The sequence below is a fragment of the Homo sapiens genome, chromosome 6 (genome assembly GCF_000001405.40).
Source record: "Homo sapiens chromosome 6, GRCh38.p14 Primary Assembly".
In the NCBI taxonomy this organism is placed as follows: domain Eukaryota; kingdom Metazoa; phylum Chordata; class Mammalia; order Primates; family Hominidae; genus Homo; species Homo sapiens.
In genome coordinates, this window is record NC_000006.12 from 162403071 (window position 1) to 162429751 (window position 26681).

General features: G+C 40.1%; 1 protein-coding gene and 1 long non-coding RNA gene across 7 annotated transcripts in view; both read right to left on the minus strand.

Annotated features, from left to right (window-relative positions):
- Positions 1 to 19639, minus strand: part of LOC105369171 (uncharacterized) — a 59560-nt gene extending 39921 nt beyond the window's left edge. The window contains exon 1 of the long non-coding RNA XR_943200.3: positions 17748 to 19639. This is a non-coding gene — a long non-coding RNA (uncharacterized LOC105369171). The remainder of the gene's footprint in view (positions 1 to 17747) is intronic.
- Positions 1 to 26681, minus strand: part of PRKN (parkin RBR E3 ubiquitin protein ligase) — a 1380350-nt gene that overhangs the window by 1055654 nt on the left and 298015 nt on the right. The gene's annotated exons all lie outside the window — the stretch shown is intronic.

Below are 26681 nucleotides of genomic sequence, written 5' to 3' on the forward strand. Positions count from 1 at the left end.
AGATTTATATCTTTTCCGCCTTGCTTTGTTCTCAACATAACTGGCCAACTTCTTCTCAACATTGGTTTACAGCATGTCCATGAACGTGAAATTCTTTCAACTCACAAGGCCCAACACCATCTGGCGCCTTTCGTCACTTGTAGCTCGCCTCCAGCTCTCCTCACTCACTCTGGCCTCCAGCCTCTCCTGCCAGCGAATGCTTGCCCCCTTGGAGCTTTGGGCTTGCTGCTCCTTTAATCTCATTCTTCCCCATGCAGCCCTGTGCCTCACTCCCTCACCCGGGCTGCGTCTTTACTCAAATGCCTTCTTGTCAAAGAGGTCGACCACTCCGCCTTATTTAGAACTGCACTCTCTGCTTCCTATCCCCAGCGAGTTTTATTTTTATCTACAGCATATATCACCATCTGAAATACCACTGTGCATATCTGATGGATTTATCTTGTCTGTCGTCAGCCTTTTCTCTTTAAAAGGAGGCTCCAAGAGGGCACCGGTGATTCCTTTCCATTGTGTGAAGCTGTAACCCCCACACCTAAAACACAGCCTGACACAGGTGTCAGAAATAGTTACTGAATCCCTGGAATCATCACCGTATTCCTGGATTCAGGAATGGGGAAAAAAGTGTTCCATCTGAGGACAGAACTGGATCAAGTTCCAAAGCAGCCTCAAAGTTTGGATGGGATTGGAGTGGGGAGTGACACAAGTCGTTGTAATTACATGGGCGGGGAAATCATGGAGTTTTGTGGGAGGAAGGCCAATGTCAGAAGAACGTTTCAGGGAAATGGGTCCAGGTGGCTCACTTATCATCATTAAAAAGCTATGCAAGTTTTTACTTCTCTTTCTCCTCTATCCATAAAGTCCTGGTGGTGAAGGCTTACCTGTTTTTTTCATGGCATTAAACCGAACCATTCACTTCATGATTTTGCCTGGTATCCCAGTAGGTCTTCCCTATCCTAATACATAAAATAGAGGTTGGTTGGCAATTTGCTGCTTCATCTGTCAGTTTAGAAATAATCCTTTTTGGCCGGGTGCAGTGGCTCATGCCTGTAATCCCAGCACTTTGGGAGGCTGAGGCAGGCGGATCACGAGGTCAGGAGTTCGAGACCAGCCTGACCAACCTGGTGAAACCCCCATCTCTACTAAAAATACAAAAATTAGCCGATGTGGTGGCATGTGCCTGTAATCCCAGCTACTCAGGAGGCTGAGGCAGGAGAATCATTTAAACACAGGAGGTGGAGGTTGCAGTGAGCCGAGATCGCACGATTGCACTCCAGCCTGGGCGACAGAGTGAGACTCTGTCAGAAAAAAAAAAAAAGAAAGAAAGAAAGAAAGAAAATCCTTTTTTCTTTTCCTCATTAGCAAAGAGCTCAGTGCTTCCTCCAAAAGGATATTGGGTCTAGAAATTTGCCAAATACCTGTGAGCATGTCCTTTAGGATTCCAAATAGTACACTCATATTTTGAAATTTGGCAAAGGCTTGAAACCAACACTTATGGGTTTTTGGTTTGTTTGTTTCACTCTTGTTGCCCAGGCTAGAGTGCAGTGGTACAATCTTGGCTCACTGCAACCTCCACCTCCCAGGTTCAAGCGATTCTCCTACCTCAGCCTCCCGAGTAGCTCGGACTACAGGCGTGCACCACCACACCCAGCTAATTTTGTATTTTGAGTAGAGACGGGGTTTTGCCATGTTGGGCAGGCTGGTCTCGAACTCCTGACCTCAGGTGATCTGCCCGCCTCGGCCTCCCAAAGTGCTGGGATTACAGGCGTGAGCTACTGCGACCGGCCACTTCTGATTTTTTAAAAAGTGAACATAGAGCCACACACCAAGTAAGGAAATACTTTTAGCAGCATAGAATCCAACGCTTGCCTTCCTTCATAGATCTCTATATACACAAAATAGAAATGAAACCAAGCACTAGGCCTATATTATTAATGCAAGAAGTGTTTGCTTGGGATTGGATGAGCAAAAATGTCATAAAAACAAAACACCATGAATGTTTCACAATATGCCCCGCTCAGAGGTCAGCCCCTCCATGTGTCCTGCAGAGCTCCTGAAGCCTTTAAGAGACAACTCAAAAAAGGAGTGAGGCAGCCTGTTCTGACACTTGGACGTCTTCCAACGCAGACTTTCAGTATTATTTTTCTAAACATCCTAAATCTCTAGTGAGAACATGGAATAGACTATTTCTGTAATGGCAGATCTTACAAAAGAGAAACAACTTCCCGAAAACATGCCTATGTCCAGTCACAGAGACCAAGCATCAAAATCACCTGCAGGGGTTTCTCTAAGTCGCCCTCACACATGCTTGGACATCTGTATGAATTCAATGCACAGTAAATACTCCTTTGAGGGTCTCTTATGGACAAGACTTCGAGAGAAGAATAAGATACATTCTGCCTCCAAGGAACTCATCATCTAGTCCACGGTGTGTGGTGATGGGAATGCAGATGCCAGGTGCTATGAAGTGAACCGTGTCACCCCCAACATTTACATGCTAAAGCTCTAAACTCAGATACCTCAGAATGTTTTGGGGGACACGGCCTTTAAAGAGGTGATCAAGTTAAAATGAACCCATTAGGGTGGACCCGAATCTAATCTGAATGGTGTCCTTATAGGAAGGCAAGATTAGGACAGGAGAGATACTGGCGTTGCAGGAGCCCAGAAGAAACGCTACGCGGGGGTGTAGTGAGAATGTGCCATCCGCAAGCCAAGGAGACAGGCCTCAGGAAAAACCACCTGCTGGCACTGTGCACTCAGAGTAAACCCCGAGTGATCTCAGAGTTCTAGACTCCAGACCTGGGAGAACATATAAACCACGCAGTCTGTGGTATGGCGGCCCTAGCAAACTAACTCACCTGAATGTAAATATACAACTACAAAGCAACAAATAAAAAGATGGCAACAACAAGCAAGCAATGGAATGGACCCTCCTGCTGGGCTGAACATCAAGACAGGGATTTAGAACCAGCTTTACACAAGGAGCATCATTTTTCCCTAGGTATGATTTTTATCCAATTCACTTTGATTAATGACAGCTACCATTTAGCAAGGGCTTTTTATGTGCCAGGCACCAAACTCAACACTTTTCATGCATTCACTTACTCAACCTTCACTGCAACCATGTAAGATCGTTGCCATTGTTATTCCAAATGGACAGATGTGGACACTAAAACAGAGAGGTAAATTTTGACCTTTGCTGAAGTCAGATGGCTGCAAGAGTTGGAACTAGAGTTCAAGTCCAAAGAGTCCAACTCTAGAATCCTTAGAACCACTGTGCATACTGCATGAACAGTACTCTTACCTTCTCTAGTCAAGAGTTCAATGTGAACTTTATTCCAGAAAAACACACCATTCAACATCTTCATCAAATATTATAAAGAATGCAGTACTTAGATATAGACTCTCTATGCAGCATTTCCTAGCTACATTTGACCTCTCTGTTTCAATGTATCTGTGTAGCAAATATTCTATGAAACACAATTTCTTAATTATTGACCTCGTTGTGTCTTTACCAGCACTGTGACTATACCATGTGGTGTGAGAGTCACTCCAGTGAATAAACACAGACTGAGGTCAAGAGTCTAATCATTACCAAGGCCCTGGGAACCCTCCTTGAAGAGAAGAGATAGGAGCGCACTATCCACCATGAAAAGTTGAGGTAGGTAGCAAAGTCAGTGTCTACACCACCCGCCAGCTTCTCCTCCCCTCTTCCACACGGGTGCATGGCTGCCACCACTTCCTGATGGGAAGCTTTTCAGAATACAGATAACATCCTCACTCTCCTGCCTCCCTCCCCACCCCAGTATTTTTATTTAGTAGATCTGGTATGGCTCTAGGAAGCTATTCTTGAAAGTTTAATAATGATTCCAACTTTCTGCCAGGTTTAAGAGCCATAATAATGTTGACCAAAATTGTAGATTTTCCAGGATACTCTAAGCTTTGATAATTTTGTGCGGACAGTTACTAGATCATGTGATCTAAACGAGGGTTGGAAATACCCCCATTTATATTCCCAGGCAGACTTTCCCTTGCCCACTTCCAAAGCAACCTAGACTTTGGGACTACTCTATTCCCTCACTGCTCTTGCCCTCACTCACTTAAAATACTTTTATCTAATACAAAGGTGCTAGATGTTGACCTGATTGAAGTAGAGCTGTTAAGAGGTAACTGAAGCTTCAGCTAAATAATGCCAGGGGGTAACATTGTCCAGGGAAACTGTTCACCAGCAGACCTCTGTTGCTCCTGATGTACTCCAAGTTATTTTCAGTTTAGCCTTTCATAACGTTGTACAAAGAGGCTTTATTCATAAAACAGTAGCTTTGGTTGGCCTCCCACATCGTGAAAACAAATGTAATATAGTAATTAAGTGTGCTGATATGTTATCATTGCAAATGTCAAGTTCATTGTAGCAGATGTGTCAACTGAAGATCACTACCCATTAAAATCAAACAACCAGTAGGCCCCAAACTCACCATCTGATTTCATGCGTCAACTTCAATGCTTAAGACAGTCAATCACAACTGTCTTCCATGTAATTGTCTTAAAATTATTACATAACAAAGAATCAGATCTCAATTCTTATCACCTGCTAGTCATAATTAAAATGTGAATGAAGGGCTAATGACTGACACAGTTACAGGGTATAAAATACTTTCACAATTTTACTTCCCCAAATAGATGGCATTATTATTAAGAAAAATTACTCAAAATGTGAAATAAGGAAAAAAACGACTGATGTGTTAATGTCTTGCTAGAGCAAAGCTCACTAAATCTCCTTGAACTCTCTAGAGAAATGTAACTTGGTTAAACTTACTACATTTTCTATTCATTTGGGCCCAGGTATTTTACACATTTTAAAGTTTGGGTTCCTAATTTAAAAAAAAAAAGTGATAAAATCAGATGACTAATATTTTTATCAAGTTAAAAAGTTTTATTATCCAGTAGGATAATAAATTAGCCACTATGATATCTACATCTTTTCAATTTTATTTCAGCATTTCTTTTTCATCTGACTATATAAAATTCCTACTCTCATATCTTCTTTTGAACCAGTTTTGTCATCCTGCTGATTCCCTCATTAGTAGTCACATGGATCTTATGAAAATAAATATAATATCCCATTAGAAACATATCTGCTACTAGTCGGGGTACTTACATAAAGTTGCAGCAATTATCAGAAAAAGGTAATATGCAAGTCTCCTCTAAAATTTCCCAACTATATTCAGAAAAAAAAAACAAAACAAAAGCTTAAGTGACTGCTTAGGTGAAAATAAGACTTCCAGAAGAATGTCTGTCAAAGTTGTACCAAGAACATTTTGAAAATACAGGTTAATTCAAAGAAGCACTCACAAAATGCCCTCAATATGATTTTGAGAGGAATTATTACAAGTGGTATGTATTCTTGAAAGCCAGGTTTAGGGTACATCTCTAAAGCAGAATAGGTTGTTTTCAAATTGCTAGGTCATTCAAGGCCTTTAAACCACTATATTCTATCCATAATTTGCAAACGTACCACTAACTTACACTAAAGAGATAGTGAGAAATAAGTTCTTGTGGAAGCAATTTACACATACAGAGTTGACTATAAAGTCCTAGGCACTTTGGCAAACATGCTTAGGGGTGGAAAGTTTCTTTTTTGGTAAAGATCCCATAGATTACTATTTACATTTTAGCATCATCTAAACAATCTGGAAGCTCCTGAAGCTCATGTCTCATCTTCACCATGGACACAATCACATATTCTTACTCTAAGCATCTCTCATTTTTATTCTAGTTGATTCTCATTCTTCATTCTTCGTAAATGATTATAATGAATCCTCTGCCTCTTCCTTCCCCTCTTCTTCACCTCACTTTCCCCTCCCCTCCCAGCTTTCCCTCTGCCTTCTCCTCCCCTCCCCGCTCCTTGTCTTCCATCCCTGCCTCTCCCACTCCCCCTGTCTCTCTGACACTGTTGTCTCCAACCACACACAGGCTCCCTGGGTTTCTTTCACAAATAAAGGAACGATTTGCATAGATGGGGTAATGTGCATCTGCTTTTGTGGTGTACCTTCCATTCTTCCTTTCTTCTGGGAATAGTAACTCCCTCCCTTTTCTTTTCTTTTGTATTTTTTTTTTATAGACAGTGTCTCACTCTATTGCCCAGGCTGGAGTGCAGTGGCACAATCATAACTCATGACAGCCTCAAACTCCTGGGCTTCTGCGATCCTCCTGCCTCAACCTCCTGAGTAGTTGGAACTACAGGTGTGCTCTACCATGCCTGCCATATTTTTTTTTGAGAGGGGGTCTCACTATGTTGCCCAGGCTGGTCTCAAGCTTCTGGCTTAAAGTGATCATCCAGCCTTGGCCTCCCCAAATGCTGGCATTACAGGTGTGCACCACCACGCCCAGACCCCTCTCCCTTTTCTGTAGCACACCCCACCCTCACCCCATGCACTTTTGCATGATTATCAATATGGGTTGAACCACATGAAATTGCCAATTTTGTAGATCAAACATGATAGAATATTAGCAAATAGAATCATGAGATTGAACATATCCTTTTAATAACACTAACGTATTCAGTATTTTATCAAGCATATAATTTAAAGTTGTATTACTAGTTATAAATTTAATATTTACCTCTTTCAAGCCCAAGCACAAAATATTTGGTTTGTTTAAACTACATCATGTAGGATGAAATTAATACCTCAAGTGGGATTCTCAACACACTAACTAGAAACAGCTCTCAGAGAAGATAATTCAAAGACGAATTTAAAATCAATCCCACAGCAAGTAAAACCAACTTTTTTACCAAGTAGTTCAGTCACATGGGAGCAGCGGAATCAGTGTGACATTTTCTTTTCACGGGATATGTGCAACCATGCTGTTTAAAAGGGAAGAAATAAGATAAGCTGATTTTATTTCCACCAGTGAAAAAAGTTTTCAATACAGCAGCTTTCATCGACTCAGCATGGCTAACAAAATAACATTATCAATGAAAATAAAATAATAGATCAGCTGCACAATCTAGGCATTTTTGTTTTTAGAGGCCTTCTCTAACATTTCTCTGTAGAGATCTGTGAATGCCTGGTTCCTGTGAATGAAAACCACCCTGCTGTTTTTTCTGCTCCTGCTGAGAGACTTGCAAAGAATAAAATCTTTTTTTTTTTCCAGCTGGAGATCAATTGGTTTGAGGACTGCTCTGGCCCCCAGGAAGTATTCTTTGCCCCCATGGGGGGAAGAGATCCTCAGTTCCCCACCCTGACCAGAGTTTGCCCCCATTGGATAGTTTTCAAAGCTGAATCCAGAAACAGACCTAAAAGCATATCCAAAAAATGTGCCACTGAAAAACAGCTAACGATTCACATGGAAAGTCCACACCCTCCATCTAGCCGGGTCTCCTCCTGCCTCCCTTGGGGAAGAAGGGGGAGAATGCCCTTTCCAATTTCGCTCGACTGAAAGCAAGGGCTGTGTCTGTCCCCCTTGCTGAAAAGCCTCCTTTTGTTTTTCTTTTCTACTGTCAGGAAGCCTGCCTCAGAGGAGTGGACAATGCATACCAATGAGGAAAGGAGAGCAGAGGTGATTGAAAGTGAAGATAATTTTTCCCTGTCATTTACAGGCTGCTTCTCAAACCATGCCCCTTTTGTGATTCCACTTCAAAACACATTCTTGCCAACTCTCATCCAGGAGGCTTTTCCTTAGTGATCTGCTCCACTATCTTGGAGTTTGGCTTCTGTTATCACCTGAGGAGCTGAAAAGCGTTCAGATTCAAGGAAGCCTCTCCTCTGCCCAAATCAGCAGAATTTAAGGCTCATGAGGATGAGGACTGTGACAGGGAAGAAGGAGGTGACAGGGAAAGGAAATGATACTTTAGCTTATTTCATTGTTGAATGGAGCAAAGTTGAAAATGATTCTTCTGGTGTCTCTCCTTAAATCTTGGGGTATTGATACAGACTCATACAAAAATGAAAAGGAGAGAAATGAACATATTCATATAGTCCTTTGGGGTTTCACAGTGATCTACCTACAGCGACATGTTATTTTAAATTACAATAATCTATTTAAAGAGAAATATGGTGGAATTTACTTTTAAAAAGGTTACGTTGCAGGGATGTTTTAAAAGATAAAAATTAAATGGCAACTCAAAAAATATCTGTCAGGCATTTAAAAATGGATTTCAAGACAAGCATTTGAATCCTACTTTACAAGAAGTGACTAGGTTAATTAGGAAAATAAGGTATCTTCTGATAACAGTAAACCTTGAGATACATGTGTAGCTCTTATACCGGAATGACCATGAATCACTAACAAATTTACTTTCTAGACAAAAGATGGACCACTTAGACAGCACAGTATAAGAAACAAGGAATGTTAAATGAAGCTTAACATCATGTAACAGATGTTAGGTTTTCTCCTCTCCCCCAAGGAGGACTGTAATACTGTTGGAGATGACACTTGTCAACTGTGCAATGTGTGTGATAAATTACAGAAGCAAAAACATAATATTATTATTTAATAATCCATTTTAAATATCACTGTCATTTAAATACCACCTGTAAGAAAAGTTGTATAAATTTGGCAATGAAAAATACACAATCCAGAAAAAATTACAATTAAGGATCAGGTTTTTCTTTGAATATAGTTATAATTTTTAAAAATCCCTTATCACTTTTATTAACTATAATTATTAGGAGACTGGAGACAAATATAACCATTGAAGCAAACTGAGTACCTTTCAAGGGCCACCGTCTTTTTCCTCTAACCTCCTCAGGCTCACATCCCCACCTCACCCCACCACATTTAAATTACTTTAAAAACACTAAAAAATGTTTCCTATATTAGAAATTTGAATCTATCAACCCTGATACTTCTTTAGATCCTGGAACTCCCTTTGCTTTAAACACAATGTCCAACTATTGAGAAAGAAATTTCCCATAAAGAAAACCATAGTATTTCTTTGGTCACAGCTGAGAGGCATTTTTTTTTTTCTGATCTGGAAAACAACAATCACAGAAAGCAGGTTGTTTGCAAAATGAGATCTTAATTTACTTAAAAACAGAATAGTAAGATGAACCTACTAAAAGTAACACCATAGCACTGCTACAAATGATTTACAGTTGTTCACATTACTGCCATAATATTGGAACGATAAATGACATGCCAAGGGGCTCAAAGTAAATTTCTGGAGTTGAACTGCACAAAGCAAATTGCTGAGTTTGTGTCATATCCTACCGTGAGGATGGCATATCTAGAGCAAGGCTCAATCTAGAAGGTGTCTGGACTGAGGATTCTAGGGTACGATGAATAACAAATGGAACAAAGATGTCACCCACAGGAAGTGGGGACTACGGGACTCACTGTGGACACCTAAGCCACCGCCTCCCTATGCGATGAAAATCTGTTCTTCATAGCAATCCAGTATACATTCAAACAAGCAGAAGAACAACACGGGGTAAGGGCTACTTAACTAACTTATATTATCCTATTTTCCATGGAATTCCAGCAATCATAAGAAAAAGTTCCATCTTCTTGGTTTTGAATGTTTTAAATTAAAAGAATTTCCCTTCCCAACACTACAAATATGTACAATGACACATTAAATACAACTGTGCTTTCTAAAACCTGATACTTGACAGAGAGCTCTTCTTCAAAGCTCAACTGCAAGTTAAATTTTACTGCTTATCTTTTGTTTATCACCAACAAGAAAAAAATTGAGCTTGAGAACTGTAAGCTTATAACTGGGTAAATTATGTTTTGTATAAGAAATACAAGTATCCATATTTGGATTACTTTTGTATAGATGGGATATACAAAGGTGCCGACATTACAGGACTGAAAAAAAGAGCCAACTTGTTTTGCATTAAAACATTTTTTTAAACTTTCAAAACAATAAGAGACTAGTGGTCTCTTAAACACAGTTTAATGAATTTATCTCTGGCAATGTATTGTGATATGTTTGTGTGATAAACCTGATACCATGAAAACATGAAAATAATTTCTGGAATGTTTCATTTCTTAAGCAAAAATTTCTTAAATATGAAAATTGGGGGCTTCTTCTGTGCAGTAATAGGTAAGACCAGTCTGGTCTGAAGCCCATATCAAATATTTCAACATTTCATGCCTATATAATTGGCTTTAAAAGACTAAAAACTCTCTGTACAGTCTGTTTTTTTTATTGTTGTTTTTCTCAGTCCTTAATATCCTGGAGTCAGAACAAATGAAGAAGCCCCATCAGCTTCAGACCACGACACACAGCTTGCAAGAGTAAATGATTTATGGAGCTACAAGCATGAGTTATGAGGGAGCGGTCTACATATTTGCGTTGTGTAGCTATGCAGGGGGAAAGAGACAAATGAGATTCTTGAAACATTTGTGAAATATAGAAAGGAAGAAAATAGAAAAAAGTTAATAAGCTGCCTCAGATAGTAACTAATTAGATAGCAAGGTATTACTGACAAAATGAAACAAGAACAAAAGGCAACAAAAGTTGGTTTAGGGCCAAACATTATCTGTATTTTCACTTTTGGATCTCTACTCATTTCCTTTTTTTCCATTTCATTCAAAAAACTATTGTGCAAATCACCATTCTATTGTCTTCTAACATTGCCGCTATTTTCACTGGATTTTATTCAATTTAGGAATTAAATTAAAAGTTTCAACATTTCCAGTCATGTTATTCTTTCATGTTTTTTGCCTTAAGGAGTAGACCATAGACATCACCTATTTTAATAGTTTCATCTAGTCCAGAATCGGCACTTGGAGCTTCAAGCTGGGGGTTAGGGAGAAAGCACAGACACAGGCAGGCTGCTATGCTGGGCCCTAAGGGCAATGTCAAACTCAAGATTGCAGATACAGGCTGGGCGCGGTGGCTCACGCCTGTAGTCCCAGCACTTTGGGAGGCTGAGGCAGGTGGATCACTTGAGGTCAAGAATTCAAGACCAGCCTGGCCAACATGGGGAAATCCTGTCTCTACTAAAAATACAAAAAATCAGCCAGGTGTAGTGGCAGGCACCTATAATGCCAGCTACTCGGGAGGCTGAAGCAGGAGAATTGCCCGAACCTGGGAGGTGGAGACTGCAGTGAGCTGAAATCATGCCACTGCACTCCAGCCTGGGCCACAGGGTGAGACTCTGTCTCAACAATAACAACAAAAAAGATTTCAGATACAGAGCTGTTGGCTTTAGGAAATGCACAGAACTTACTGCTCCATAATACAAACAAAACTTTAAAAGGGTGATGACTGATTCCAGATTACTCTTGCTTTTATCTTAAGCTAATCTCTGTGTTAGGTAAGGACAAGCAGGTTTGAACGGCTGTTAGGACAAGGCATCATTGTCTACAGGTGTTATGATGACCATGAAGATTAGAAAGTAGTGAATCTGCCGGGCGTGGTGGCTCACACCTGTAATCCCAGCACTTTGGGAGGCCAAGGCGGCTGGATCACGAGGTCAGGAGATCAAGACCATCCTGGCTAACATGGTGAAACCCCTATCTCTACTAAAATACAAAAAAAAAATTAGCCGCGCATGGTTGGTGGTGCCTGTAGTCCCAGCTACTCGGGAGGCTGAAGCAGGAGAATGGCATAAGCCCAGGAGGCGGAGGTTGCAGTGAACCAAGATCGCACCACTGCACTCCAGCCTGGTCAACTGAGCAAGACTCCGTCTCAAAAAAAAAAAAAAAAAGTGAATCTTTGAAGTTTTAAAATAATGCTATCTATGGATAGAATAAAATAATCAGAATGGAAAGTGTAAAGATGACATATATATAGTGAGCATTCTTAAAACTGATTATCATTGATGTCCATCTATTAATTAGGCTGCCTTACAAAGGAACGGATTTTCTATCACTGGAGGCACTGTATATTTTTATAACTTGTTCCCAAACTTATGATTTTACAGACCAGTAAAATTTCTGTTCTTTTATTTAAGAAAATTAAGATATCTGATGCTAAGGAACAGTTAAAATTTTCACTGATTTCTGAGAGATGGCAAAATGCTAGTAAACAACACCTCTTCAAAAACAATAGGATTCTACTTCCTTCACTTCTGAATGTTTCTGAAATCGAAGATGCGGCAGAACCATCAATTCCAGGTTCACCTTGCCGGCAACCCTGCGTAATAGACTTAGCGTAGCTACAATTGGTTGTGCCTACGCAAAAATAGCCAACTGGGGAAAGTTATTTGGACTGGTAACACTAGAAACTATTTAAATTTTAACACGAGTGTCACACCACTTTGTTTAAATGTGTTCAAACAGAAGACACAATGTGGCACCGAAATGCAGCAATTGTGTGGAGGCAATCAAGTATCACAGGGCAGATAATGAATTCAATAAAGGCAGCTGAAATTGCCAAATCTTCAAAAGGTAGAAACAGATCGTGTGAAGAGTATCACTCATGTATCTAAATATCTTTATGGTGAAAGCTTCCTACTTTAAGAGTAGCTGTTCAACACTTAGTGATATGTGATTAAGAGGTAATTAAGAAGTTAAGAAGGCCAGGCTCATGGCTCACACCTGTAATCCCAGCACTTTGGGAGGGTGAAGCGGGTAGGTCACAAGGTCAACAGATCATGACCATCCTGGCCAACATGATGAAACCCGTCTGTACTAAAAATACAAAAATTAGCTGGACCTGGTGACACCCATCTGTAGTCCCAGCTACTTGGGAGGCTGAGGCAAGGGAATCGCTTGAACCCGGGAGGCAGAGGATGCAGTGAGCCCAAATTGCGCCACTGCACTCCAGCCTGGTGACAGAGTGAGACTGTCTCAAAAAAAGTTAAGACAACCTCAAATTTAAATAAAGAAATGTATTTTTAGAATATATTATTCAGACTATTCTGACTAATGGGAGATCTTCATAGGTAATACTCAGCAACACTCGTTAATAGGCATCTCTCCATTTGAAAGACTGCAAAACGCTGAATTCTGTTGTTTAGTGCACTGAATTTTAATCATTTAAAAATTGTGATGTCTTTAAATCAGGCATGCCATCTCCAGTTCTCAGTGGCTCCACTACTTTCCAATATTTGACCTCCAGTATCATGCTTTAAAATACCGGCCTGGCACTTGTGGACATTTGTGCTAATGGCCCTTGGTTTCCATTTATACCACTGCCATAACAATGACAAAATTGTCGAGGGTGAGTATTTGTTTGCACATTCTGTCCTATTTTCCTAAATAATATATTTTTTAAATCCTCATTTAAGTGCTTTCCATATTTTCCCACCATTTGAATCCCCCAGACCCCACCTCTACCTGGTGACATTCAAGATAATCGTAGCAGAGCAGCTTTAGCTGTCAAGAAGTCTGTCCTTTGCTAAGAGGTGGTAAGGATGGTTAATTATTCTGATCAAGTCTATTCGGTCTGTGCCAAGAAGAAAACTATGTTTCTGGAGGTAGGATGGAAGCAAAGTCACTAGATTTCCTTCCTTCTCCTTTTCATATTCCTTACAAGTTGCTGAGTAAGTATATTTTATTTGGAAGCATTTTGATAAATTCAATTAAACCTGCTGCCAGGCTGTAAGAATTTTTCTGTGTGTAGTTTGTGGGCAGAACATCATCAATCAGTTTTCTCCACCATTTTTGGTTTCTAGACTATTCCTGTAGTTAAATAAAAAGTATATTTACTATATTCTCAAATTATTTTCTTTCTGCTCTTTTTCTTAATAACTTACCTACTTACTGACACGTGATTGGGGACAGACAATATTTTACATTTCTACAAAGCATTTTATCTCATTTTTCTATTTCTAAAATGAAAATTTGAGTAAAGATGTACATCCTTAAATTCTGTACACAGAAAATATACTAAAATGAATCAACTTAATAATCAATTAAAGAAATTTTTTATTTAAAAATGGATAAGAATGTGTTTGAAATATATGGTTCAGTCTTAAACTAAACACAAAGCAGTTCTCCTAACTAAACAGCTGTTTTAAATCTATAGCTCTTCTGCTCCAGCATCCTAACAGCTGGAGGAAATTAGAGTCCAGAGAGACATGTGCATAATTTGAATTAAACAGATGCGGGCTGTGAAGACAATCAAACAACACAGGGTAAGAGATGCAAACAATATTACTGAAACTCCAAGGAGTTTTTATTTTTTATTTTCATAATGATGGCAAATGTGGCCATAGTTGTGATACAAACTACCTACCCATCCTAGTAAAAAGTCGTGACTTTTTTTCAAAAGTGCAAAAGGAAACATGCCAAATTCTAAATCAAAGCCAGGACAGGGCCATCTCTGTATTTTTCCATTTATAGCACTCTTGATGCCACGCGTTGACTGTGAGCTAGGGGTCGCTGCCTTTCCTGCCCCCGGCAGCCGGGCATCCCCTGAGGGGATCTGCATCCTGCAAAACATGCCAGGCCACTCACACCATCACATGCTGGCAGCTGTGGGGGCAGAAGACTGAGGAAGAGTGAGAGATGACCAGAAGCTGAAGGGAGACATATGTAAAGTAGAAAAGGAGTAACTTAAATGTCATTTTCTGATTCAAAATATGAGTGACCTGCTTTAATGAGCAAAACCCTGCATTTAAAGCCACAAGTAGTTCAAGCACTGAGGGCCAGATGGTACCCTTTGAAATTAAAGCGCTCTCAAATGGAACATAGCAGGGAACCTCCCTGTGCCCGACTGTGTAACAACACTTCTCCCAGATAATGTCCGTTAACGTTTATGGCTTTCGGTTTCTAGCTCAGTTCATGAACGTGTTTACGGGTCTTCTGTTGAGAAATCAAGAGTTAGTGTCCACGTGGCAGGTTTTCCAAGACCTAAGTGTGAACGTGATCATCACATTTCTTCCACCTCTTCACCTTCATAGTAGACTTTTCAATACTCCATGAACTCTTGATTACTGATATGAAGCACAATAAATATAGACAAGCATTTGGAAAACAGCCTGAGGGTTCTGTAAATAGCTAAACATTTTACCACATGACCCGGCAATTCTACTCTAGGTATACGCCCAAGAGCAGTAAAAACATAGGCCTATACAAAAGCCTGCACACAAATATTCATGGTAGCATCATTCACGATACTCAACAAGTAGAAACAACCCAAATGTCCATCAACTCATTAGTGGATAAATAAAATATGGTACATACATACAATGGAATATTATTTGGCAATAAAAATGAAGTGCAGATTCATGCTATGACATAGATGAAACTTGAAAACATTGTACTAAGTGAAAGAAGGCAATCACAAAAAGATATATATTGTGTAATTCCATTTATATGAAATGTCCACAATAGACAAATCCACAGAAAGTAAATTAATGGTTGCCAGGAACTGAGAAAAGGGAATGACTGCTACTGAGTATGAGGTTTTCTTTTGGGGTTGATGAAAGTGTTCTGAAATTGATTGTGGTGGTGGAGTGAAAACGCTCCCAAGATACTAAAAACCATAGAATGGTATGCTTAAATGGGTGAAGTGCATAGCATGTGGACTGCATATCAACAAAGTTGAGGCCAGCACTCAAAGAGATTGCAGAACAAGAATTGGAGTGTTCCTGGAGCTTCAGATGTAGGCTCCACGAAAAAGTGATGAAGAGAGAGGGACAGACAGTGTGTGTGTGTGTGTGTGTGTGTGTGTGTGTGTGTATGCGTGTGTGTTGAGGGGGGGGATGGCTGGAACCTGTGGAAAACACCCATTAGGAGGGCAGATGGACCCAGTGGCTGATGGTGTGCACGGTTCCTGCACACTCATGAAGGAATCCAAGCACACCCAGGGCACTCCTGCCTGCACCAGGGGAGCTGCAGGGAGGGCTCCTGTCAGCAGACCACTGCAGCCCCCAAAAGCCCCTTCTCAGGAGGAGGGGAGGGAGAAGCCAGCTAGAATCATCTGCGAGGGTGTGGGGCACCAGGACAAGGACCCACCCTGTACCCAGTCCCACCCCCCAACCCTGGAGGTGTCACAAACTGGGAAGCAGGCACAAGGGAACATACAGGTAGGCAAGGCAAAGAACCAGAGACAAAGCCCATTCCTTCCTTAGGCTCCAGGAAAAGCAGGTGCAAGCAGGGGCGGCAGGGGTGGGAGGGGTGTTGGTAAGAAGATCCAACATCAAATTAACTTCGACGTTCGTATTATTGTCTTGGCTTGGATGTTCTAATTACATCCTTAAGACTATGTCTGTGACTTCTAGTACCTGTAAGGAAGTTTGTTAAAGAGTGAATAAAAATGTCAGGGGACCTTCTGATTTCCCATCCAGGGACAGGGAAAAATTGCTCTTCCTCAACAAAAGGCTGGTGAGAGATGAAAATAGTTTTGTTTTGATTATATTGCAAAGTGTTCAACTTTATTATAAGATGTGTGATTAATAATAATAGCTAAAATCAACTGAGCTTAAGAAGACGTTTACATGCATGTGGTCAGTCCTCACAAAAACACTATGAGGTGTATAAATAAATAAATGTACAAGAATAAGACATTTACTATTCTCATTGCTCAGATGAAGAAACTGAGGCACACTAAGGTTGAGCCAGCAGGTGCAGGGTCAACAAGCTGGAACCCAGGAAGTTGGTTCTGCAGCCCAGTCCTAGCCCTGGAACTCCACAGTGCCCACAACGCTCCCAAGTGAAATATATGATGGAGCATCTATGGGAGGTGAGGTTAGGGGGATTTTACTTTTTGAAAAATGCTTTTTGGTATTTGAAATATTCTCATATAAACATCCATGACCTATAATGACAGAGAGAGAGAGACAGACACAGAGATAGAGACAGAGCCAGAGACAGGGACAGGGACAGGGACAGGGACAGAGAAAGAGAAAGAGAGAGAGAGAACCATTTTAGAAAGTTGCTGGACCAGGGAATATTTTGCACAACATGAAATGATTACTTACTATCCTCCCTCCTGATTTGGGAAAATTTTAGAAAATTACAGTGGAAAGCAGCAGCCCCCAACCTTTTTGGCATCAGGGACTGGTTTCGTGGGAGACAGTTTCTCCACAGACTGGAGCAGGGAGATGGTTTCAGGATGATTCAAGCGCATTACATTTATTGTGCACCTTATTTCTATTATTTGTACTTTGTAATATATAATGGAATAATTATACAGCTCACCATAATGTAGAGTCAGTGGGAGCTGTGAGCTTGTTTTCCTGCAACTAGATGGTCTCATTGGGAGTGATGGGCAACAGTGACAGATCATCAGGCATTAGATTCTCATAAGGAGCGTGCAACCTAGATTCTTCACATGTACATTTCACAATGGCGGGGAGGGGGGACTCCTGGTGTAAAGCATTATGTTTAAAATACCATAGCCTGAGATCAAAATTTTAGGCACAAATTTAATCACATTGAATCCTTTGTCTTCTATTAGTTAAAAGGTTGTCCTGCTGCCATCTTGGAATGAGTGCAAGTTGGAAAATCTAGATCCGAGGGTTTCACATCTGAGCATGCATAACAGTGCCCTGGAGAGCTGCTAACAGTGCAGATTGCCTGCATCCAGCCAGCAGAGTCAGGGAGATTTCAGGGGAGCCCCTGCCCAGTGGAACTCTTAAAACTGCATTTATAACAACCTTCCCATCTCCTTTCTAGGAGATTCGGATACAGACAGCCCATGGCAAATGTTCTGAGGAGTAATATGGTATTATTTTTAAAAGCTAACACCCATAAATACTACATTAAATTAAAATTCAGGGATGAATGAAGGACTTGTAGCTATGACTCTGTAGCTCAGAGACATAAAAAGTGTAAGAAGCAAAATTATTACTCACTAAGAGATAAGCAGGAAAAAGATGGGGACACTTACAGTTTTAACGGCTTACCTCTTTTGTAGAGCCAGAAAAGTCAGCAGCGGTTGGAACTCTGGTAACAATACAGTTTTGGTCTTCTACTTATGTACTCTCTTCTCTATTACTAAATTTTAAAAACCAGAACAGCAAACCTAAATCAAGCGATACAGTCGAGCTCAAAGAAAGACTGAGCTCAAATGCCTTACGTCTGCCCCAAGAGAAGCTAGCATTGAACTCACACATCCTCCCTGTGAGCACAGGCTTGCCAGCCACAGCTCACCACCGCTTTCTTATGACCCAAACTCATGTCCAGAGATCTCTGATTCTCCTTAACAGAACTCCAGGTAATCATTAATAATTGAGAGGAAACAGGCTTACTTGGAAATCTTATTATGCACGATGTTTATCAATAACCCTCCATCAGGAAGGAAGCAACAGGCAGCACCTGCGTGGCTGTTTTGTGCCAGGCACTCTCTGGATACTTGCCTAACATTATTACCCTCACAGCGCCCTGAAGATCAGATGTTATCCTGATTTTTATTATCCCTGTCTTCTCAAGTAAAGAATCTAGGCTGTTAAGAACAATAACTAATTTACCTGCCATCCCATGAGACACAGTTGATGGAGCTAAGACCCAGGGTGGTTCCTTGTGACTTTCAACTTTCCCTTTGATATTTTGGCCTCTCTTAATTTAGCTACATGAAATGTTAACCTATTATGTACTCTTAGTTCAATTTTTTGGTTTATTTGTAATCAGAAATGATACAATATGGCACCTTCTCAATGAGTCCATCAATTCATATCATTGTCTATTAACTCAGGATGGCTAGCTACTCATTAACAAATGTCTACCAAATTCCTCCATGGCCTTGCTAGATAGTATAAATAAACAGGAGAAGAACAACGCATTACAGGAAAACAGCAACAGTCTACTGCAAACAAGGAGAATCAAGTAAGTAAGGCAAAGACACTAAAGGACTCAGGAACATCATTACATAATGTTGACCAGTAACTATTAATATAATGCAATATAAAATAGGAATGCAAAGGTATTGACTGAAGGAGCTACAAAATTAAGAGATATTCTACTAAACTATTAAAGTATGTATTCTATTTATAAAATAAAAATAATTTATCTAAATAAGTTAAATAGGAAGTAATATCTAATTTCAGCAAGGAAAGCTTATCTTCAAGTTTAGATGAAGTCCTTAATTACAAGTAACTATCACATATGGCTGCTCTGGGACCCACAATTTGAGCTGAGCAGCAGATCATGGTTTGCCACTGGGAATTCTTTAGTCTTGTCCAGGAAAGATTCTTAGAATCTGCATAATGGAAACAGTTACTAAGACACCATGTATGTATGCTTTACTTGCTAACTTCAAAGAGTTCTAGAGTTCTGTTTTCATATTTTCTGAGTTATTTTGTTTTAGCATGAAAGTATATTTAGAAAGAAGGGCTACTTAATAATATTTCTTTAATCAAATTCTTCATATAAAAACTTCTGGTCCAAATACCATTTCTGCTAGAAAAATTTACCTGCCCCTAGTATACAACAGTAACATTGCTGTCAAGCCAGTGATGCATCATTGATAGAAATGCATTGGCCACAGCATGAAACAGTATCACATGGTAGTTTTTATGCCACTGCACATGAGCTGACAGCCTTACTTGGGTCTTGCATGTAGAGCTCTCACAGGGCAGGGAAGGTCCAGAATACAGCAGGTTTGACTGCACATCCCAATATTAGTGGTACTTTTAAAAAATGACTTTGGGTCACAGAGTTCTTTACGAGTAAGAACTGGGGATAATTGAGAGGGCTCAGGTATCTGCTACTTTTAAAAATGGCTTATAGGACATTAAGAGTCATAAGAAGGAGGCTGGGTGCAGTGGCTCACGCCTGTAATAATAGCACTCTGGGAGGCTGAGGCGGGCGGATTGCCTGAGCTCAGGAGTTCGAGACCAGCCCAGGCAACATGGTGAAACCCTGTCTCTACTAAAATACAAAAAAATTAGCTGGACATGATGGCGTGCACCAGTAGTCCCAGCTACTTGGGAGGCTGAGGCAAGAAAATTTCTTGAACCCGGGAGGCAGAGGTTGCAGTGAGCCGAGATCGCGCCACTGCGCTCCAGCCTGGGCGACAGAGCAAGACTCCATCTCCAAGAGACCAAAAAAAAAAAAAAAAAAAAAAAGCATCATAAGAAGGAAAGTAAAAATGATTATTCTTCTAGTCGCTTTCTGGATTCTTTGCCTTTCATTGCTTCTATAGTACATATTAATATTACAAAGAAATCTGAATTGGAATAGACAATCATTTCCCTTACATATAAAAATGTAACTGAATAAAGACATTACCCTAACCATCCTGGGGTTACATTCCTAGATACTCTTGGATTCCATCTACACCTTCTCAACTAAGCACTTACAGATGTCTGGCTTTATATATGTACACATCAGTAACTAGAACTAAGTGTTGAGGTAATGAACAACAAGGAGATGACAGAGTGACTAACTCTGGCCATGATGAAAATGGCAGATCTAAGATGGAAATTATACTAGGAAATTCCCCAATCCTAGAAATACAGTTGGCCTTCCTCCCTCCCTTCCACCTTCCCTCCTTCCTTCCCTTTTCCTCTTTCATTTTTTATTTCCTTTGTAAGACATCTAGACAAAGTTTAGGTGCTATATAACTCAGGGACAATCTTCAGCTTCATTGTGTGAGATTTTATTCATGATTGCCTTATCACACACAATGACAGGGAGTAGGAGAAACCTCATTTGAGTATATAATCTGCTGAGTGTGATGCAAATGTCAGTATCTGTGGTATCTTTGCAGTTACAACCCACTGGTTTCCTCTATTCTCTTACCACTTAGAGGTGAATTTCTAATTCTAGGAACTGGTCGTCATCAGAAATTGATGAAGACTTCAAGACGTTAAATCAATTCAGCCACTGCTACATGGTACCTTATAGAAGAGACCATTAATTATACTAAATAATGTCTATTCATTTATTCAACAAATATTTATCCAGTGCCTACCCACTGGATAAAAATAACCACCCTGAGTGTTTAGATGAATGCCTAATGACAAGGGTGATGCTTATGCCATTCTAAAAGTGATGAATTGAACTGAACATTTATTTCCACACAAAAACCTACACACAGATGTTTATAGTAGCTTTGTTCATAATTGCCAAAGTTTGGAAGCAACCAGCGTGTCCTCATAGGGTGAACAGATAAATAAACTGTGGTACATTCCATTCAGACAAGGAAACGCCATTCAATGCAAAAAAAGATATATGTGACCAAGCCATGAAAGGTACAAAAGAAACTTAAATGAAGATTATCAAGTGAAAGAAGGCGATATGAAGAGGCGACTTTATGATTCTATCTATAGGACATCCTGGAAAAGGCACAGCTATAAAAAGGGTAAACAGATCAGCGGTTGCTCAGGGTAGAGGGAAGAAATGGGTGATGAGGTAGAGCACAGAAAATCTCTAAAGCAGTGAAAAGACTGCACAATCCTACAGTGTTGGATCCATGTCACTAAACATTTGTCCAGGCCCTAGAATGTACAACACCAAGAGTGAACCCTAATGTAGAGGACTGGCTCTGAGTGACAATGATGTGTCAATGACCAGTTGTAAGAAACGTACCACTGGGGGTGTGCCGGGCGTGGTGGCTCACGCTTGTAATCCCAGCACTTTGGGAGGCCGAGGCAGGTGGATCACTAAGTCAGGAGTTCAAGACCAGCCTGGCCAAGATGGTGAAATCCCGTCTCTACTAAAAATACAAAAAAATTAGCCGGGTGTGGTCATGGGGGCCTGTAATCCCAGTTACTCAGGAGGCTGAGGCAGAGAATTGCTTGAACCCGGGAGGTGGAGGTTGCAGTGAGCCGAGATCACGCCACTGTATCCCAGCCTGGGTGACAGAGCAAGACTCTGTCTCAAAGAAAAAAAAAAAAAAGAAAAGAAAAGAAATGTACCACTGGCGGATGGGGGTGGGAATGTTGATAGTGGGGAGGTTGTGTGTAAGTAAGGGAATGAGGTTGAGAATTTTCCACAATTTCCACACAATTTTGCTGTGAACCCAGAACTGCTGCTCTAAAAAACAAGTTTCATTAATTAAAAATCAAATTGCTGCTTTCAAGGTTCATGGTTCACAGCCACATAGGAGATGGGTGTCTTAGCCTCATGTAAGGTGGAGAATTAGAACTAAAATCCTTATGTAGAATGGAGTCCTAGAAAACCAATGACTTTCGTTAAAGGATTGACTAGAAAAAAAAAAAATCTACCCATCAGAACAGGTAGAAGAAAACTTATTGACCTGATACTAGACCTTACATTTGATGGTTTGTAATCAGAGATCTGCTCTTCCTTCGACAAAAGGTTTAACCTTATACTATTTATATAGTCCATTTTTCACAACGCTGAAAAATAAACATAAAAAAGTAGTTACACACTGCATGCCAGAGACAAGCTTAAAACTATGGTGAAGAGACACACTGCCAGCCTGCCACGAAGCAGCCCCACAAAGCCCAAGAACTCACATTCTAACACAGAAACCTTGTGAAAATATAATCTTCCAAGGGAGAGAAGCAATACACCCAGTCACCATCAGGATTAGTTACCTAAGAACCACAGACACAGAATTTTGTACAGATATCATTAAATTACTATTTTTCAAATGATTAAAGACTTAATGGAAGAACATTGAAATATAAAACAAGAGCAGGATTCCATCAGAAAAGGCAGTGACATTGGAAAAAGAATCACATAGAAAACCCATCAATGAAATATCCATTCTTTGAATGCCACTGGGAATGCAAAATGGCCCAAAAATGGTACAACTATGAATATACAACTAAGGGCAAAAGAAAGGTATGATTAAATTACCTGGAATGCAGCACAAAGAGATAAAGTGATGAAGAACTTAGAGAGGAAGTGAGAGGTACTGAAAAAGGAATAAAAAGTCCAACATATAATGAACTTATATTCTAGAATTAGAGGAAAATGCAAAAGGAAGAGAAGCAATATTTGATGACACTGGTGTATATTTTTCTAGAACCGATACGAATGTTCTCATACAGGAATCACAGTGAATACGGAAAGAAAGCCAAAGCTGAACGCATGGATGTGATAGCGACTAACCACAAAGATTTGAAATGATTTCTAAAGCTGCAAGAGAGAAACAGATTACCTCCAAAAATACTGCAAGTAGACTCATAGCATACTTACCAGTAGCAAAGATAAAAGCTATACGCTATGTCTTCAAAGGACTGCAAAAGAATAATCTCAATATAGAATTATCTTTCCTGTAATTCAGAAAATAAGACAAGTTATTCCTAAAGAACAACAAGGTGGGTGATGTGAAATGCCTTGTCAGATACCGCAAATTATAATAAAACTATAGTAATATAACAACGTAGTATTGGTGCAGGGAAAGACAAATAGACAAACAGAACAGAGTAGACGGTTCAAAATAGATCCAGGTATACATAGAAACTATATATATGTCAAAGGTGTCCTTATGAGGCATGACTGTTCAATCATGGGAATACACAACAGGTGATCCCTGTGAAGAAAATAAAATAAAACTGGATCTTGCGTGGACAGCACATGTACACAAAGATAAAGTCCAGTTGTTAAAGACCTATATTTAAAAACTAATTTTCTTTTTTCTGAGACAAGGTCTGGCTCTGTCACCCACGCTGTAATGCAGTGGCACAATCTCGGCTCACTACAACCTCTGCCTCCTGGGCTCAAGCCATCCTCCCACCTCATCCCCAAGTGGCTGGGACTACAGGTGCACCAGCTTGCCTGGCTAATTTTCATATTTTTTTGTAGAGACGGGTTTCACCATGTTGCCCAGGCTGGTGTTAAACTCCTGAGCTCAAGGGATCCGCCCACCTGGGCCTCCCAAAGTGCTGGGATTACAGGCATGAGCCACCATACCCAGCCAAAAACCAAAACTTTAAAATGTATACAAAAATATTCTTTAAAAATATTCAAGGCCACAACATATGAAAACTTTCACATTAGACACAGAAGATACAAATCATAAACAAAGATGAAGTAAGTTTTCCACATTAATGTGGGAAATCTTATACATCCAATAACAGCATCAAAGTTAAGGAGACAAACCAGAGGTTGACAGGTTATTTGTTTCCTACGTTAGCCCCAAAATACTAATATACATTGTGCATTAAAATAATTCACATTTTAAAACCATCACAGGCCCATGAGAAAGTTTGGCCAAAGTATACTAAATGCTCAGAAGACAAAATGCAAATGAATAGTAAATGTGAAAAGATGCTTAATTGAGAAGTAATTAGAGAAATGCAAGTTAAATCTACAATGACAGAAAAGTTTACACCAGTCAGGCTCAAAATTTAAAAGTCTGAAAATATTAAACGTTGGCGAGGATGTGAATAATTGGGAGTTAAATTGTTATGATCACCTAGCAGAGCAATTATTTAGTATCTATTAATAGTAAAGCTGAAGTTATTGGTGCACAAATACCACACCCAGGAATTGGTCTAGAGAAAGTCTTATACCTGTGCACAAGACTTGTATAAGAATGTTCAGTGCAGCACTATTTGTGAAGCAAAAAAATTAGAAACACCTTAAATTCCCAATAGCATGAGAATAAATCCATTGTGATGTCACACATGGTATGCTATTCATTAGTGAACACAGGTGACCTACTGCTATATCCACTAACACGCATTAATCTCAAAATATGATTGAACAAATATGTTCAGTTGCATACAATAGGTAACATCATATCATTTATTTAAAGTTTAAAAGCATGCAAATTAGCAGTATTCCATATTACTTATAGGCTGGTAAATAAATGTTTTTTTTTCTTTTTTTTTTTGATGGAGTCTCGCTCTGTCGCCCAGGCTGGACTGCAGTGGCGCAATCTCGGCTCACTGCAAGCTCCACTTCGCGGGTTCACACCATTCTCCTGCCTCAGCCTCCCGGGTAGCTGGGACTACAGGCGCCCCAGACCACGCCCAGCTAATGTTTTGCATTTTTTTTAGTTGAGACGGGGTAATAAATGTATTTTTTAAAGTATAAAAACATAGTTGATAATGACAAATCCCAAGTTCAGGATAATAGTTACCTCTGTAGAGAAGGAAGAAATGGAACACAATCAGAGAGCAGTACATCCATCGCTTCAGTTTTAGTTGTAATATTTTTCTTAAGTTGAATGGTGGGCCCACTAGTATTTGTCATATAATTCCCATATTGTTTTCCATCCCTGGGGTTTTGCAATAACAATTACAAATATGTATCTCCCTACAAAGTTTATACAATGGTTTATATATAATTCATTCATCTTTGACTTGTAATGGAAATCTGACTTGCACAGGAAGTCAAGATTGCTAATGTCAGACTTGCAAAAGAACAAGCATGCTAATCAAATTCAAAGTCACTAATGTAATTTCCATGTATTTCTATTATAGTTCTCGATTTAGATTCTACATCTAACCTCATCTTGACTGAGAATGTATGTATAGATTCTCAAATAAGCTTTATCTGAAGAATGTCTTACTATATATTATTTGGTAGCACTAGGTATCAAACACTGAGGCTCAAATTTATATTTCTGTTCTGTTCTAACCTCAACAACAGACAGATAAACAAACTTCCTACTGGAGATCGCCACCTAAAATTTATTTGAAACCTTAAACCTCTCAAATAAAGTTTATTTGAACTGCCCCTCCCACAATAACCCATTCCTCTTTTTCTTCCACTCTCCTCTGTGCCTGGTGGCATCAACATCTAACATGAGTTCTATATCTCACATAGCCAAGTATCAATGTGTCATACTTCAATTTTCTCTTTCCCTTGCATCTCACAATGCGTACATCTGCTAGTCCCATTGACACAACCTCTAAAACATCACAAAGCTACATGTGTCCCTCCATTACAACGTCTAGTACCCTAGCGAAGCCCCATGCTCCGTCCCCCAAACACCTAGACTAGCCTCCCAATTAGCCTCCTTGCTTCCACCAACTTCCAGCCACACTTACCTCCCTTATGGCCTTGGCATGTGCTTACCTAATGCCCACTCTAGGTCCTTTGCTCCCTCTCTCTGGAATGATTTTCTGCAGATATTCCCAGGGCTGGCTCCTTTAGCTTTCAGCTCAAACTTCACCTTCCAAGAGAAGCTTTTCCTAAATTTCCAATATAAGGTAGTGTCACCAGTCCTCAGCCTATTTTAATTCTTTCCAAGCACTTATCACTAACTGAAATTTACCATTTTTATTGCTTTACTTGCTTTAAACCTGAAGATTGTATTTGGTTGCATGTACCGGAATACTGACTACAGAAGTATAACCAATTGGGGTTTATTTTTCGCATGTTACAAGAAGTCTAAACAAAAGCCATCTAGAACTGGCTGGGGGCTCCCTGATGCCCTCAGCAACCCAAGTTTCTTCTATCCTTCTGCCCTGTCCTTTTAGCACGTGGCTTTTATCTTCATGGCACTCTGACTAAAAGCATTAATAACCTTCTTGCACATGGAATGCAGGCTCCACAAGAAAAGGGACCTTGTCTGTCTTACCCATCACCGGAAGAATGACAGGTGCTGTGTTAACAGCTTGATCAGCTAGAGCAGTGAAAGAGGAACTCAAGAGTCCTCAACCTCAGCATCATTCCTGCATCCTGGGAGTCCTGCACCACAGCCTCCATTCATTGGCCCTGGAGATTCTACCCGGATTTCTCTTCTCATGAAGCCCTGGCCTTCATGGCCTTCTTTATTGGCCCTGCCTTAGTCCAGGGCTTAGTCTCACGCTACAGTCTCCTAAGTGGCCCGCCACCTGCCCCATTTCGCCTGCCACCCTGTCACACCCACGACACAAACTGATCATATTCATCTCTAGAACTCTTATGTTTTCTTAAAGTCTGCACTCAAATAGAAAGCTCCACAAAAGTGGGGACGCACCGGTCCTGCT